Below are 16,948 nucleotides of genomic sequence, written 5' to 3'. Positions count from 1 at the left end.
AGAAAGAGACATGCTGGCTCCTTCAGTGTTAGTTTTCCCAAATATTTTTCTTATTGCTTCTGGCTGGATATGGGGTAGTGGAAAGAATACTGGATTCAGAGTCAGAAGATCTTGGTCCAACAGCCACCCCTTCAAGATTCAGTGGTGTGACGTGGGCTCGTCATTTAACTCCTCAGAGCTTTATTTTAGTCATGTGTATAATGGAAATGAAACATCTACATTGTCTCCCTCCCAAATGCCAAAGATCAAGTGAGGAAATACATTTGAAATCATTTGGTAAGGTATAAAAGCAAACACAAGGTGCAGTGAGGTGCAGGTCGTTGTTGAAGAGAGTCTGATGGGAACTGGGGGACGGTCAGTTATCTGTTGTAGGAAAGAATGGCTTTGGCATTTCTCCACAGAGGAGACATTTGGTGCTAATTTATGCACATTAGTTAATTTTGTTTTGCTGGGGGCTCAGATGGGACTCCCTGATGGATGTGCCATCCATGACAGAGTCAACAAAACCACATGGCTCAATACTGTGATCCTTCTAGGGCTGGAACTAAAGGAGACAGGCTCTTGAGAGGCACAGGTTTGGCTGACAATTTCAAAGTCATCTGCTCAAGGAAACCCTGCTGAGGCCTAGAAAATGGGATGCGTAGAGAAAACTCTTTTTCCTTAAACACTGTTGGGTTCATTGTCAACCCAGCTCTCCAGCCATCTGAGTTTAACATTCGAGGCATGTAGGAATACAGCCACAAAATGGTAACCGGTGGTACTGTGCTCTTCTTCCCAAGCTCTGAAACCATCTGCGCTAGCTGAGATTGAGAGGGAGAACAGTGGCAGACTCTTCAGTAGGAGAAAAACATTCTTAAGAAGCAAGCTTAAAGCAAGCTATTGGGGGGAAAGAGAATTATTCAGGAGAAAGACAGCACGATGCTAAAATCATGTGTGTCTGGTTAGAGCATACATTGAGGGTGAGCAGAGAAGAATCCTTGAATTCTGAGAATCATTGACTCTTATCACAGGCGTGATGATGATAAACCATAGATTCTCTTGGATCTCTGTTTATATCTATTAGTCTCACTCCCCACATTGTGAGCTGATCCTAAATAGGACCAAGGTGTTTGCATATTTTCTCTCTCCAGTGCCTATCCCCGTGCCTGGCATCTCACAGCTACTCGCACGTGGGATTGAACAGAATGGTTTCACCTGCCCTTTCCATACACCAGGGCTGGCTAGGGAAGGGAGGCTATCCCTGCATTTTCCCACTACAATCTTTAATAGTTAGGGGAAGATTTTCATTTAGTTAAATTCTCTTCTTTGGTATTCATTCATTTAAAATGTGCCAGGACGTAAGCACACTGTGACCTCTTCCTATAAGGCGGAGCTTCCTAGAGGTGCTGTGTGGTCTTGGGGGCACCTGGAACGGCCTACAGGGGTGCCCTGAGTTCTTCATGATTGCATGCTTTTTGTAGTGGTAGAGTATGAAAATCATTTGGACAACCATTTAGAAATTTTCAAGTGTATTTGAACATACATCGCTTTGTCTATAAACTCGCTAGCTTCTGTGATGACTGTTTAGGTGTATGCGACTCTCTGAACGGACACTGCCACCAGAGCGTGTTGTGCGACAGCTGAAGTACATTTCACTCCCTGGAGCTTCCTGTTAAAATGTCCTAGTATGAGTTCAATTTTTTCTTAGTCATGATTTATTTATTCTCAGGGAAGTTCTTCGCTTTGCCTGCAGTATAAAAATATTAGATTATTTTCTGATTTAATTTGCTCTTATATTTTGTATTGTTCTAATAAGGTAGAAGGCATACGTGACTTTTATCTTTACCTTTTACAATCAGATGTTAGGCATTTCTAAATAGAATACCATTAACTGGGAGACGTTATGCAAATTTCACATTTAATATATTTATATAACATTTTATATTTTAAAATAATGAACAAAATAATTTTTATTAATTTTAAATCATATTAATTAATTTTATTACTAAGCCTCATACTGAATCTCCCAAATTCTTTCCAATTGATCCCTGTCATTCAGCTATTATAATTTTCTGTGCCTGTCATGAAGTGAAAAAAGGTAGGGCAGCGTTGTTACAAATTATCCTTTTTGCCATTTTTCGCCCTGGGAAGTGGATGTAAATGGAAAACAATGTTAGTCTTGGTAGAAGGGACTTGTTAAAAGAATCCAAGATGTTTCTATTTTCATGTTTAAAGCTCCATTTGACAAGATAGTGAAATAAAGTGGGCAACTTTAACTTAAAGGTGTTTCTCGGTGATGGGCACTCTGATAGGATTGGATGTGTTTCTGCAGATTTCTGCCTTCCCAGCTGGATCTCCCTTGTTTTCTGCAGGAGAGAAATGGTAGAAAGAGACAGTAGGAGCTGAAAAGGTAAATGTCACAACACCCAGCCTGCCATACTTTGAAATTCAACATGGATTTAACAGATTGCAAAGTGTCTTAGTCATGTAATTCATGCAATTCGTTAAACCACATTTAAATGAAAAGTAAGTGATATTCTCCTATTTAACAATTAATTGAACAAGTGGTATTATATTGAATTGAAACACTTAAACTTGACTTCTATTGAATAAATACAGCCAATACAGGACAGAAAAAGAAAAAATCTCAAAATGGATCTGAAACTGACCTTAGATGACTCTTCCAGGCTGCTAACAGTGTGTGCAAGGAGTGTCACCTTTCTTCTGGAGGGCTGGGGAGAGAGGCTAATGCTGAGAAAGTGCACCTGAAGCTTTGAATGGTTGCCCTAGGGCGGGGAGGGGGCACAAGGCACGAACTCAGTGATCTCAGGAATAAGACTGCCATAGTTAACAAATGAGAATATGATATATGAAGTATCTGAGACATACTACACTAAAAAACTATTTGTTGTTTGTTCAAAATTCAAATGGAACTGGGCAGTTCTGTTTTTATTTGGCAACCCTACTTAGTTGGGAGGAGCTGTAGGGAGAGGTATCTGGGAAACCATTAAGAAGTAGAAAAAGGCCGGATGCAGTGGCTCACGCCTGTAGTCCCAGTACTTTGGGAGGCAGAGGCAGGTGGATCACAAGGTGAGGAGTTCGAGACCAGCCTGACCAACATGGTGAAACCCTGTCTGTACTAAAATTACAAAAAATTAGCTGGGTGTGGTGGCATACACCTGTAATCCCAACTACTCAGGAGGCTGAGGCAGGAGAATCACTTGAACCCAGGAGGCAGAGGTTGCAGTGAGCCAGGATCACACCATTGCACTCCAGACTGGGTGACACAGCGAGATTCCACCTCAAAAAAAAAAAAAATTAGAAAAAAAGGAGTCTCCCAGCTGGTGAGTGAATATTATAATAAAGACAACAACAAAGACACAAGCATCATTCCTGTGCCATGTATTTGGAATGAGATTTGTATAGGACTTCTAAGGGGCAAAGTGATGGTCAGGGAGGGCTCTAGATAACATCAGAACTTAGTTTTGAAGGAAACTGGAAATTCCCCCAAAAGGATGATGGTGGGAGTTGAGGAATGGCATTTCAGGCAAAAAAAAAAAAAAAAAAAAAAAAAAAAAAAACATGTCCAAAGGCATGGAGTAGTCAAACAACTGGAGTGTCCTTCTCCATGAAGCCTTTCTGGTCACATTCAGAGGGAATTCACCTTGCCTTTCTCTGTTCTGTCATCACCCTTTGTTGCAGCCTAAATCACATAGCCCTTATACTGTCTGCTACTGGGACAACTGTGATGTGGGACCCCATAGAGCTGGCAAGTGGCAGGTGGCTCATGGAAAAGACTCCAGACTTGTCTACTGTCCTAGTTGAGCAGCGAACCCAGATGCTTTTTGCAGAATATTGATTGAGAGCAAACACATCAAATGTTTCAATGATTTTTCAAGCAAAGCAACATTTTGCTATAGTGTATGTATATGTACTTAAGTAAACACTGAAAATGGATTTATATACATCAGAGCTTAGGCATCTACTTCCCACGAGAGAAGTAACAACATGAAAGTAAACCAAATGGAAAAATAAGTAATATTCTTTGCATTCCCTGAGATTTATCCCAAAGCCAACCCTTACTGCTTAAGTGGATGAGGGAAGATTCTCCATTGCATATCTCAGCAGTCTACTGCTTGTGCCCGTTATCTTTTGGAGGGAGGTTGTCTCGTATCTTGTGTGTAACGCTTTTATTCTAGCTTTTAGAATCAGCTGCTTAAAATTCCTCGACTTATGGTGTTAGGTAAATAGATAAGTAGGACTATGCTTTTTTGTCCCATTTTGGGCACACAAACAGAAGAACCTTGGATACTTACTGGAGGGGAACTTTCTCCCTTCTTCCCCCAGTGATATGCTTTGGAGGAGAACTTATGCAGAGATTGGGGCAACAAGAAGGTGCCTTCTACTAGCTTTAAGAAGGAGATAACATTTCCATTTTTTGTTTAAAAATGTTGATTTTCGAGGCTTTACTAACTGTAATAGGTGAGGTTTTTGTTGTGAATATTCTGTTTGCGTTTTGTTGCTGGAGGGAAGGAGAGGCTATTTGGAGAATGATACCTGGCTCATCAGCTGCCCTAAGGGTTCAAAGTGACTTGAGCCTTTCCTCTCCAGGAGCTCTTATATTGCTCCTGAACTTAATGTTATGTGTTGTCTTTCTCTTTCATTTTCTTTGCACATTTCCTAAAGTTCTGAAGTCCTTGACCATCGAAGGATTTTACCTAGATCTCTGACGACCTACCTTGGCTTTTCTTTACCGGAGAATTGCCCATCTATGGTTCTTTGCTCCATCTGTGCAATTTGCCCTTTTCAGGACTTGAGGACAACATGGTCGCCTTTGCCTTGCTTGGCTGTGGTTTGGGGTGGCATTAACACCATGATTTCTTTCAGGGCCCACTGAAGGTTGGTTTCTGCGCTCCTGCGCCACCTGCTGTCACCAGCTCCAAGTGCAGGCTCCCCAGTCGCCAGCCCTGGGCTCCCGGCCCCAGCCAGAGTCCAAACCTCAGACCAACCAGATGTTACTTAGGCTGCCAGATTTCTGTCTGGGCCTTATCTGTACCGTCTTCACTGGCTCACTAGATCAGAATCCCAAATGTCCCTGGATGACTTGCCTCAAGTCACGCAGACCCTGAGCTCTTTGGCCAGAAAGAGGAAGCCTGTTTGATTGGGGGTTGCTGACCAGTGGCTCCTGCCAGCTTTCTGAATGTGTGGCCAGTGGAGGCCGGCCTCTCCTTAGCAGTGAAAATGCAAATGGATTTCTTTAGAAATGTCAACAGACACTTGACACTTATCCTTTAAGGTACTCCCCAACGTGTCTCCTGACTGGGCCAAATTTAGTTTCTCCCAAATTGCTCAGAAATGGAATGTTTGCTTTTTACTTTTTAGCACTCTGGGCTTTTCTACAAACTCATAAAAGTTGGTGATTCTAACCAAGGGATCACAAGAAAGTGGGGTGCTACTTTTTATGAATTAAATTCAGTACCCCCATTATTCTCTGTTTTAGGTTGAAGATCTCTTGATGTCAGGGACTTATGCATTTGCTCCCTCTCCATCACACACAGCCTGGCACACAGTAGGTGCTTCACACAATCTTGTTAAAAGGAGCAGACTCTATCTGGTCAAAATCATTCTTGGAAGTTCTTTTCTATTTGTTTGTTAAAAGGAAAAATGGCCAGAGTTGAGACTGTGAAAGTTCATTCCTGATTTCAGACCAAAAAAAATAAAGCTGAACCTGAGAGAAAAACAATGATGAGTGCAAGTTGTGATTTCTATGATCACTCTGATAAGAATGAGGATCGTGACCGGCTGTGGTCTCCCAAGGTTTGAAAAAAGAGAAATATATGCATGCAGGAGAGAACTGAGTTAGATATGAGATAGAACTTCCTAAGAGCAGAGGTTATGGGATACCCTTATAAAATACAAATGGGGGTTTATGCTAGCAAATACTCTAGAGAGAGATACACATCCATGTAGTTCAATAAACACTTATTAAATTCCTGCATTATGCCAGCACTGTATTAGATACTGGAGTAAAAAAGATTGTAAAGTATAGTACCTGGTCACCAAGAAGACAGAGACTAACAAGCAGACAATTTCAATATAATTTCCTGATTGCTAAGAGAGAAGTATATGTGCCCAGGGTGTTGTGGGAGAATATGAAAGTGCACTAATTCAAGCTGTGTAGTCAGGGAAGGCTTCCTGGAGGAGGTAGTGCTTCTACTGAGTCTTACTATTGGGTGAGAGATATCTAGAGAAATAAATGCAGTCAGCATATTCCAGCAAAGGTGGAAAGCTAGATTAGCTGATGTACAAACATCTTCAGGTCACAGAAACTCCTTTTAGTCCTTCTGAATTGAGTCATCTGGGAAATGCTGTTGTCCCACAAGAAATGTCTTACAATTCTGGCAGCCTAAAGGGGCTCAGTTTTCTATTGCATGTTCAGCTTGTCACCTTGTTAGGACAGCCTCTTATAGACTTAGGAGGGAAAGAGTAAAAGAGGGAATCTTATTTTCATTTGCATCCAAGGATCATGATCCATTAAGCAGCCTCTGTGCTCTAACATTCAGGGAGCTGCAGGACTGGCATATCCTTGATGCATCAGATCTGATATATTTGTGTTCAAAGGGAACAAACCAACTACTACTGATAAGTTCTCTCACAGCAGCTACTTTTTGAGTTCCAACAGGTTGTTGTACCTAGCCCCATTGTACAGGTGGGGAAACTGAGGCTGAGGGGCACAGAGTCACTTTCTAGGCCCTGGGGAATAACTATTGGCTACTGCATAGTAATTTAGCTTCTTATTTCTCACTGTACCTTCCCAGGGTGGGAACCTCTGAGAGTCAATTTTCCCAGAAAGAGGCACTTTCGAAATGGCAGGCCTGTTAGTAATGGCCTGTTTCCACTGGGTATCCTGCCCATTGGGCTGGCACTATGGGAGTGGGGGTTCCCAGCCACCCCAGGGAGGTCATTCAATCCCAGCCATGGCAGCTGGTGTCCTTGGTGCCCTGGACCACCATCAGAGAACGGAATCTGCGGGAAAACAAAGAGTGCAGCCGTGGCGGCAGACCTGAGCCCTCCACGCCTGCTTGCCCAGGGCAGGTCCCAGTGGGGTTAGTGCCAGGGGCTGTGCTGATTCTCCACCCCCTTCCCGGCCCCTCGGCTCATCTGCTGGCTTTCAGAACTCCAGCCATCCTGAATGGGTCTTTGTGCGCACCCCAGGAGCTGGCTCGGAAGAGCCTGATGGAAATGCTGGACAGAGACATCTCCTCTGGATCCAGGCACAGCCCGTCATGGTGCCATCTTGCGGGAGTCAGGCTTTTATTGTTTCACCACGTTGCTCTATCTGGGAGTGGGTTGGGACCTGGTGAATGGGAGAAATATTCTGCACCCCTGACAGTGGGGTCATGGGTAGGGCCGAGGGGATGGCAGCACCTCTGTCACTTTCCCACAGCTCTCTTTCCCACGGTCAGTCTTTGCTACTTTGCCCCCCTGAGATGATTGTGATAATATTAATAACAAGAGGCATCGTTAATGGTCACTCCCGAGGTGCCAGGCATTGTGCTGAGGGTTTCATTCCATTGAATACGTGTTCTCAAAGATCCTGTGGGATGTGTTGTCTTATTATTCTCATTTTACAGGTGAAGAAACCAAGGTTAGGAGATGTTAAGCTACCTGCCCAGGTAATTCTGAACAGGAAGATGAGCACAGATTGGATGCAACTCTGCCCTTACCTCCTCCTTCCAGCCTTCAAGGTGTCTCTTTCCAATCATTGAGGTCCTAAGGCCACTTGTACTCTCATTCCTAAGAAATCCCTGAGCTCCAGGGCGCCAGCACAGACAAAAGCCTGGTTCTGGCAAAATGTGAAAAGCCTCGTGGCCTCTCAGATTCCTTTTTTTAATGCTGTGCTTTTTTTTTTTTTTTCTGAAATCAGGGGTGTATTTTATTTTATAAGATAGAAGAAATTGTAGATGTATAAGGAACACGTTGGAGTACAACTATAGATTGAAAATTGTGTTAAAGGACCTTATCTCCATCCTCAAAAAACAAAATGGTTTTATGAGACAAGCAAGTACCACATAAGGGCTGGAGTGCAGGATGCATTTCAGATGTCAGTGGTCCCAGCTCTGTCACCGCCGGCACTGCTCTGGCCAGGCGTCCTCTGTAGATGCAGGGATGAGGGTTAATTCCAGGTGTCTGACTCTGAGGCTCTCTTTGGCTGGGTTGGAGAGTAGGCAGAAATCTTGTTTTTATTTTTTTAATAGACAGAAGCAGTGGTGATAATGGCATCTACTCACCTGCCTGGCTTCTCTTCTATGTATGACAAGAGTGTCATTTAGGAAGGGTGATTGATATAGCTCTCTTATGGAGCAAACTCGATGACCCTTTTAGGGGAATGAAGTTTTAACCATGACTTTTAGAGCAGCTCTGTTAGCTGAGCCAAACAGCCAACTGGGAAGGGCTGTGAGTATCTCTCTGTTTGGAAAAAGGCTATAAATAATCTATGGTAAACAAATAAACAAAAACACCAGAAGAAACACAGGTTAGATCTTCAGAAGAACTTCCTAGCTGTGCAGTGTGGTAAGACATCAGGCAAAATTGTAAGTTGTGCCCCAGAATTTGCTGAGCTCCCCTCCCCTCCCCTCCCCTCCTGTCCCCTCTCCTCCCCTTCCCTCCCCTTCCCTCCCCTTCCCTCCCCTTCCCTCCCCTTCCCTTCCCTTCCCTTCCCTTCCCTTCCCTTCCCTTCCCTTCCCTTCTTCTCCTCATCTTTTTTTGAAAGAAAGTTAGCTTCTAACTCTCTAGGCTGTTATCTGTATAGCCCATACCATTCCCAAGTTAGAGGAATGACCATTGACTATCATAGGCCTCATATAGAGAACCTTTATATCCATCATTAACACATGACAAAGACACTCTCTAGAATTTGAATCCTCAACATTGTGTGTGGTATAGTGTGTTATTCCCCTCAGTGTGAAAAGTTAATGTCCATTCCTAGCCACTACTGCATTCAACCCCAGAAATATCAATGCTCTAATGATGGGTAAACTGTCTGAGTTGTTTTTTCTATTAATTATTCTCCAAGTTGCTTTCTACAGTCTTTTTTTTTTTTTTTTTTTTTTTGAGATGGAATCTCTCTCTGTTGCCCAGGCTGGAGTGGTGCAGTCTTGGTTCACTGCAACTTCCACCTCCCGAGTTCAAGTGATTCTCCTGCCTCAGCCTCTCGAGTAGCTGGGATTACAGGCACACACCACCATGCCTGGCTAATTTTTTGTATTTTTAGTAGAGATGGGGTTTCACCATGTTGGCTAGGCTGGTCTCGAACTCTTGACCTCAGGTGATCCGCCCACCTCGGCCTCCCAAAGTGCTGGGATTACAGGCGTGAGCCACTGCACCTGTCCTCTACAATCTTTACACTGCTCTCTGATATCCAAGGATCTTTACCAGAGCATATTTCTTCATTAGACTATTGCTATCATCGTGGATTATTATTACAACTTGATTGTGGTGATATATAATAAATGTTTTATGATTTGAGGAAGGGAAGTATAAGTGCAGCAGAGAAATACCCATCACCATCAAGATAATAGTCTGTAGAGGGTTAAGGTCCTAAGACGTATGGTGTTGAACAAACAAAAATCATAAACAGCCATTAGCCCACTTCCAACTTCAGCCCCTTTCAACTCACTATGATGTCATGCTCTGGTGTTTTTCTTGGGAGTCACTTGTTTCTTTTTTATTTGCTAGTCTCATTTCTGAGAGTGGAACTTGCTATTAAAACAAATAATAGTTAAAGATAGTAGAGTTCAAGAGCTTAGGGGATAATTCAAGGCAGACACTGGAAAGAACTTTTTGATTGTGACAAGGAGAATATATCGAAGAAAACCTTGTTTAAATAGGGCAAGTGAAATTTACCTCTGGGGCATGGGCTACTTGAAGTTTGAGTAACTTTCTAGGTCTCAGTCCTTTAATTATGGGGTAACATGTGAGTCATAGGACAATTTCTTCTTTGTGAAGAAAGCTGTCAATTTATTTGTTGGACTTTGGTCAGTAGGCAATGCAGAATCACTTGTGACCAGTGCAGGCAACAAAGAATCACCATGAGTTTTGGAACATAAGAGTGACATAATCAGAGACATGTATTAGGGAGACTAAACTACAAGTCACATGTAAAATGGATTACAGTGGATAGATCCTAGCAGTAAGAAACCAAGTAAGAAGATATAGCAATAGTCCAATCAAGAAAAAATGAAAACTTCACTGAGGATAATTGCAGTAGGAATAAAAGAAAGGGACTAATTCAAGAAATACAATGGAGAAAGAATGGACAGAGCTTGGCAACTAAGCAGCTATAAAGGAGGGGCATGCGTGAGGGAGGAATTAACTATGACACAATCAGATTTCCCCAGAGAGCAACTGGGCATTTGTCCAATGGCCAATGGGAGCAACTGAACTTTCTGCACTTTTCTTGCCGACAAACAAGCAGGGAGTAACAGTGGCCTGTTAGCTGTGCAAACTCCCCCATAACCTCTCATGATGAGGGGAGTATGACCCTGTCATAGGGTGAGTCAAGATTAGAAATAGGGCAGTGGATGCAGGTTTGTACTTCCCTGACGGGTGATGCCATTTGATGCGTCCCATTGCCCCAACCCTTCATGGTGATAATATCTAATACTCAGGTTGCTTTTAGTTAGTGGGGCTCTCTGCACACAAAAGTGAGGAGAATTCTGCAAAGAATTGGGAGAAAGAAATTTAACAGAAAGTGCCATGGCAATATCCTGCACCACCCACTGGCAGTGTTGAGTGACTTTTAGTGTTTTAAATTAGTTCCCACCCTCACTTTTTTTGTACCATTTTCCTACTTATAAATTCAAGGCTGTGGTACCAGATTTCCTTGGCTTTAGCAATGAAATGGAAATGACTTTTAATTAAGTCCTGTGTTTATTGCTGTGATGCCACCCAAAGGCAGTAGGCATTTGGAAATGTAGTGAAGATGTGGCACATTAATGGCCTTCAAGATGAAAGATTTTGGTATGGGACTATTGGGCTTGTCTTCTTGGAGTCTCCCTGTGGGCCTCTCAGATTACCTGGCAGTATGTTTGCTGACTCTAGGACAAGAAAAAAATATTCTTTTGCTAAACAAAGCCCAGGCAACCAAAGCTTTTTCTTTAGAGATCTACCTGGGCCCAGGGGGGTTTCCTCTTTTTATGACCCAGATTGGTCCCTAGCCAAAAACCTATGAAATTCCCTGAAGATGAGCAGCTCTTGAGTCCTGCTATATTCTAAATGAAAGACAAGAAACTTGACCCTCTCACCATCCCATTTGGTTTCCCACATTGAAGACTGCTCTGAGTTTAGGATGTTCTTTCCCTTCTTGGTATGGAAATGTGAACCTCTACTATTCATTAGCTGATATAGAAAAACCAAGCATCCTTGTAATTAAGCCAGGCAAATTTCAGTTTGTAAAATTTCCTCAAAAGCATAGACATGTGGTTACTTCTGATTGCCAAGTACCCAGTGGGGGCTGAAAGTCTCTGGGTTGAGTGGCACTGGGGGCTCTTGGTAGAGCCCCCTCCCAGGAGATTGACCACCAGAGACCCTCTTGTCCATCATGCCAGGCTTTTTGATAAGGATGTTAGAACCAGATTACGTTCCTAGAATTTATTTATCCATCTGCAAATGAGATTTGCCCTGATTTTTTGCCTTTTAAGTTAAAAATGGCAGTTTTTTACCTTGTGACCCTTTAGTTTCTGTCTGAGTAAGAAAGTTCTGCTCTAAATGAGTGCTCTCATATCTCTGGACACATGTAGGTCATCTCATCTGTGAGAATGAGTTCAAATTTCCCTTTTCAAGAGATCCTGTTTCCCCATCTGAAGAATGCCTTCAGACTCAGAGCACAGATCTGCAATGCCGTGGCCTTACTAGCCATGAGTTAATGCCAAGAATCAAGGACACACTTCTTTCTGTGATACATTTTTATTGTGGGAAGGACACTATTTGGTTTTCTGGCAAGTACCTCTCAGAATTGGTCAGTTCTCAATGATCTGCACCAGATTAGGTGCTTTATTATTCATGGATAATTTTAAATTCCAAACTGGCTATGCCACCGCTTGACCTGTTCTCATTAAGATAATCTCTCAATGTCTTCCTCTAAGCTAGAAATAGCTAGGGAATGTTATGTATTCTGATGTAAGCATAATAGAAAATAAACAAAGAGGTGAGTTTGTTGAAAAGTCATGGTGTAACAATTTCAAAATCAGGAAAAAAAAACAACTTTAGACTAATCTAAATAATTCTTTGGAATTGAGTTATTTCTACCCAAATATCATGATTACTTAAAAAAATCAAAGTTATGCATTACTGACTCCATCTTCCTCCCAAAGCCAGAACTTACGAGAATGTGATTGCAATACTGAACCCTGAACCTAGTTGAAGTTCAGGAATGAGAGGGTACTGACACATGTAAATACTTCTTTCAACTTGTGATCCCGTGGGGCTTGCACTAAAAGCCTCTCTAGCCCTTTCTCAAGACGGTCTTCAAGGGAGCCGGCCCTGAGCCATCTTGTCCGTCCTCTGAAATGGGATGAAGCCCAATTAGGCGAAGTAAAAACAGAGTGAAAATAGGTTGCATCTCACCCTCTCTCTGGGAAAACTGTCCTATGCCTACTCCACCTTAAAAGCGAAACGTGCACTTTTTGTGTGCAGAGACAGCACGAAGTGGGCCCCCTGCTCTTTTCAGGGAGGGAATGTAAGCAGATCTCTGAAGAAACCACTTGGCTCAGCAATTTTAGGGCTTGTTGTAATTGGCCTGGCCTAAAAGAATTCAGCAAGCTGTACCTGTGCCAAGGAAAATGCAAACGCTTCCCTGAAACAGAGGCGTTTAGAATGGAGGAGAGGAGCTGGGCTCATCTGCGAGCTTGAGTGGAACAGCAGTGGGGACAGGAGAGCTGCGACATTGGAGAAGTTCCAAAGAGGCTGTTTCCTTGCTTAGCCACGGGTGGAAGTCACATCCACTGAACTGTCACCTGGCAGGGTGAGTGGGGTCTGCCGGAGAAGGATGTAGAATGGGAGGCCTCCTCCTTCCATTCTCATCCTCCTCATTGCCCTGAGGAGTACAGCCCCCAGTGTGGCCAGTTGCTCAGTGGTCCTCTTCTGAGTTCAGCCTCCACTGCCCTTATCTGGGCACTGGGGACTAGGAATGTTCTTTCTGACATTCCCAGGCCAGGACGATTCCTACAGACTGACTGCTCCTGATTCTTTGTGGCGTCTGACATGTCTTTTCTGTTAAAAACATAAAACCTAGAAATGATTATTTGGATATTCTGTTATTTTCCTTCACAGCACCCTATAATCCTTTGCAGGAGTTTTACACTGGGCTGTGCTTCTCCCTTTCACCTGTTACTCTGTGACCCCTGGGAGGGTTGGCCTAGTCATCCTAGTCGGGTTCCTCATGCTTACCATGGTCTTTGGCCAAGAGTAGTTACTGAGCAAATGATTGTTAACTGACTAGTAGTAACTCAGGTTACTGTGGAACTTGATTTCTACTTCTATCCTGTATCTTGAGCATATAGGAGGTGTCTAGTCAACACTTGATGGATTCAGATTTTTCTCGTGAATTAACCATCTTTTGCAGCCAGGAAGGTGCCCTTTGATTCTCTCTCCTGAGAAGTGACCTAGTCGGGAAATGGAGACACCAAGTCTTATGATGGGTCTAGCTTTCTTCCTGTTTCTTTCTACTCAGAAGATCTTTCAGTGCCCGGCCTCCTTCTTCCTCCTCAGCATTTACCCTTTTTCCTGCCTCTCATCGCCCCTTGAGACCCCGTGATGGTCTTGGAAATGTCCCAGATATCTTAGACCTCCTATGCAGTTTCTCCCTTCACATCTTCCTACCTCTAAATGTTTCTCCCTTTTCCTTCATCCCTAAACTCTTTTTGTCTCCTTTGTCTGAGCTCAGTGTTCCCTCTGCTCAATCAGAAGTCAATTCTCGAATGCTCCATTTCTCTTATCTGACACCCTCATCGGCTTTGCACCCTTTTTTGCAACTCTGTCCAGGATAATATCATGAAAGCAACTCCAAACGCATACCACATACCAGCCCCGCCCAAAGCCCCGTAGTTCCTTCCTTTTTAGCAACCTGCACCCTTTCAACCGCCCCTACCCCTATTCTTATGCCTTCCCAGCCTGCCATGTAAGGCTCACACATAGACGCAAAAGATTGCAGAAAAGGCAACAACGTCACCTACAATTTTTACTGGTACTGTGTGTCCCAAGTATGTCTCCTCAAACTGTAGGTAGGGCTTTTAAAATTTACTGTAATTCTGACTTCAAGAAATTCTAATTAGCTTTAGGTTCTGCCTTGTATTCTGGTACTATACCAAAGGTGCCTTTTCCCTTGCATCCATGTCTTGCTGATTGCATTTTCTATGTGTGTGTTTTGCTTATTCTTGAGCCCAATCAGAATGGCCTCCAATCAAATTGACTTCAGAGGCTGAGTTCAAACAGAGATCAGACAACCACTCGATCAGGGAAGATATGGGTGGAATTCAGACATTGGGGGAGATATTTGATAAGATGGCTTCTAAACATCATCTCTTTTAAAACCTGCGATTCTCCTTAAACTGATCATTCAGTGTAAGAGTTTTGCCTTTTCTTGTGTGTTTTCCACTATACTAAAGGCCATTTGCCCCACCTGGGAGATACCTAACTCTTGGACTTACCTGTGATAGTTAAAGAAATAGTGCTGTTCAAGGGAAAGAGAGGAAAAGGTTGCAAGCACACTTTGGATTTATCTGATCATCTAATGTGTTAGACCAGGAGATCCCTCAGCAGGAGTTAAAATGCTCTGTGTGAGGATGTCACATGCTTCTTTTGTCTAGTTTCTCCTTTTGGATCCCAGATCGTTCATAGACTCAAATAGTCCAAGAGCTAGAAGGATCCCCAAAGGTTGTCTCAGTGCAGGCAGCCTCCATGGCTGGCCCTGCATTTGGCCAAAGAATGTCCAATGACAGAGCCCTCACAGCCTTCTCCAGACACAAAGTGACCTTTCCAAATCTGGACTAAACTACCAGAATATTTTTCTTATAGTGGATCGGAAATATTTCTCTTTGACGTGTCTCTCCATTAGTTTCATTCTATTTCCTGAAGCTGGGTGGAGCAAATCCCACCCTTTTCTAATTAAGAGTCCTTTAAATATTCAAAGACAGCAATTACAGAGTTGCATCTTTATCTGCCTAAATATTTCCAGTTCTTCAAGTTCCTCATGACACGGTTGCTTCATCTTTGTTGTCCTATTGTCTGGGTCCTGCATTTTTCCTGGTGTCGGGTGCAGAGCAGAATGGAATGCTCTGCCAATCCAAAGGGGAACAAGACTCTCCTTCCCTCACCACTCATTTTCCTGTTTCTCCACTCATGACCCCGTGTCCCTGATGGGGACACGTATGCTCCAGACCCTCTGATACTTACTCCTGTAGAAGTAATTCTGGATTTTGATCCCATCTTTCACAGCGGGCTTGTCACTAAAGGTTCTCAGTTTTAGATCTGTTTGCGTGAAAGGGAATGTTTTTGCTGCTTTTCTTGATTTCTCTAAATCCTTATGGCTGTTTTTTTGTTTTGTTTTGTTTTTTGTTTTTGTTTGTTTTTTTTTAACTTGAGTTTGTAACAGGGCTTAATTATCTTCAGGGCAGTTTAACCCTTTCATATTCAGCCCTAGGCCCAACATAGGTCTGAGAAATATTTAGTGAGTTTATGGTTCATAGCAATATCATCATTGACATACTTTCTTCTGCTTTGTCATCCTCCTCCTCATCATCATCGTCATCATTTAAGTGGCACACAACTTCTTTTGCTTAAAGTTATTGCTGTCTTTTGTCTTTATTCCTGTAATACCAATGTTAGTTATGGAGAAAGAGCTCATAAAGTAGCTGCAGCAGAATCAGAGACTCGTGCAACTTCAAGTATCATTTCCAATGCACTAGTAAGTGGAGCTAAGATCAGAACCCAGGGTTCCTGACCTCCTCCTGCACCGTATGTCTAGACTATGTCCTGTCTCTGGAGAAAAGTGGGAGTGACACTCACTGATCATCCTCAGTACAGGGCATTGAGCCACACCATTAAGGAGTATTGATTGGCTCCCCCTCTGTGAGAACAGTATGCTGGGTGTGACACAGACAGAGAGACCCAGACCGAGTCTGCAGGAGAAAACTGGTCATGATGTCAAACGTGGAGGAAACAACCAATAGGCCTAGTGGGATGCTCTCTATTTATCAGCACAGTTACTGGAATCCAAACAAAGAAACTTTCCAGAATGACAACCGTGCTCTGCCACTGAACTGTAGGTGAGCATGTGGTTTGTGACGTATTATTTCATTCTGCCATCATACCAGTTGTGAGATCTTGCTTGTGAAACTAAGTTAACTCCATTTTATGGACAAAGAAACTGAGGTGAGAGTAGTTAATTGAGCATAAAATAAGTAGCAGAGATAGGTATCGAGTCTAGATCTGTTGAAGCCTAGAGCTTGTTTTGCCACGTCATATTGTCTCATTGACTCTTCCAGCAGTCCTGGCAAGGGAGTCCTTAATTTCAGCAAAACAAATCTCAGACCAATTTCCACTGGACTCTATTAAACTCCACTACCTTTCTGATGTTGGTGGCAGCTCTATACTGAACCATACGTGAAGATTGAACTTGGAATAAAATAATAAAGCTCCATTTGTTAAAAACCACAGCTACTTCATGAGCTGTTTCTCCATAAGCAACATAGACACTACAGTAATAAAGATTAAAAAACAAAACAATAATAACCGTAAGCAAAAGAAGCTGTATGACACTCAAATGAGGAGGAGGAGGAGGAGGATGACAGTGATATCTGCCAGGGTGGGTTAGTATAAATGAGACCGTGTTCCTCTGGAGAAAGATACTATTTGGACATACAGTCTGTTTTCACTAAGGTGGGGAGCAGTATGTGTCCAGAGCTCTAGA

At 42.9% G+C, this 16,948-nt stretch overlaps 1 long non-coding RNA gene across 4 annotated transcripts in view, besides 1 other annotated feature; it reads left to right on the top strand.

Annotated features, from left to right (window-relative positions):
* MIR100HG (mir-100-let-7a-2-mir-125b-1 cluster host gene) overlaps positions 1–16,948 on the top strand; it is a 394,543-nt gene that overhangs the window by 202,374 nt on the left and 175,221 nt on the right. The gene's annotated exons all lie outside the window — the stretch shown is intronic.
* Positions 4,799–4,848: an enhancer, noted in NCBI's record as "active region_5666". NCBI's record gives its function as "activates an Ori minimal core promoter by ATAC-STARR-seq in GM12878 lymphoblastoid cells {active_cell/tissue: GM12878}" and the evidence as "EXISTENCE:reporter gene assay evidence [ECO:0000049][PMID:35858748]".

Source organism: Homo sapiens, chromosome 11 (assembly GCF_000001405.40).
Source record: "Homo sapiens chromosome 11, GRCh38.p14 Primary Assembly".
Lineage (NCBI taxonomy): Eukaryota > Metazoa > Chordata > Mammalia > Primates > Hominidae > Homo > Homo sapiens.
Note: the sequence above shows the minus strand (reverse complement) of the source record. Positions and strands in the feature narration are given on the sequence as shown.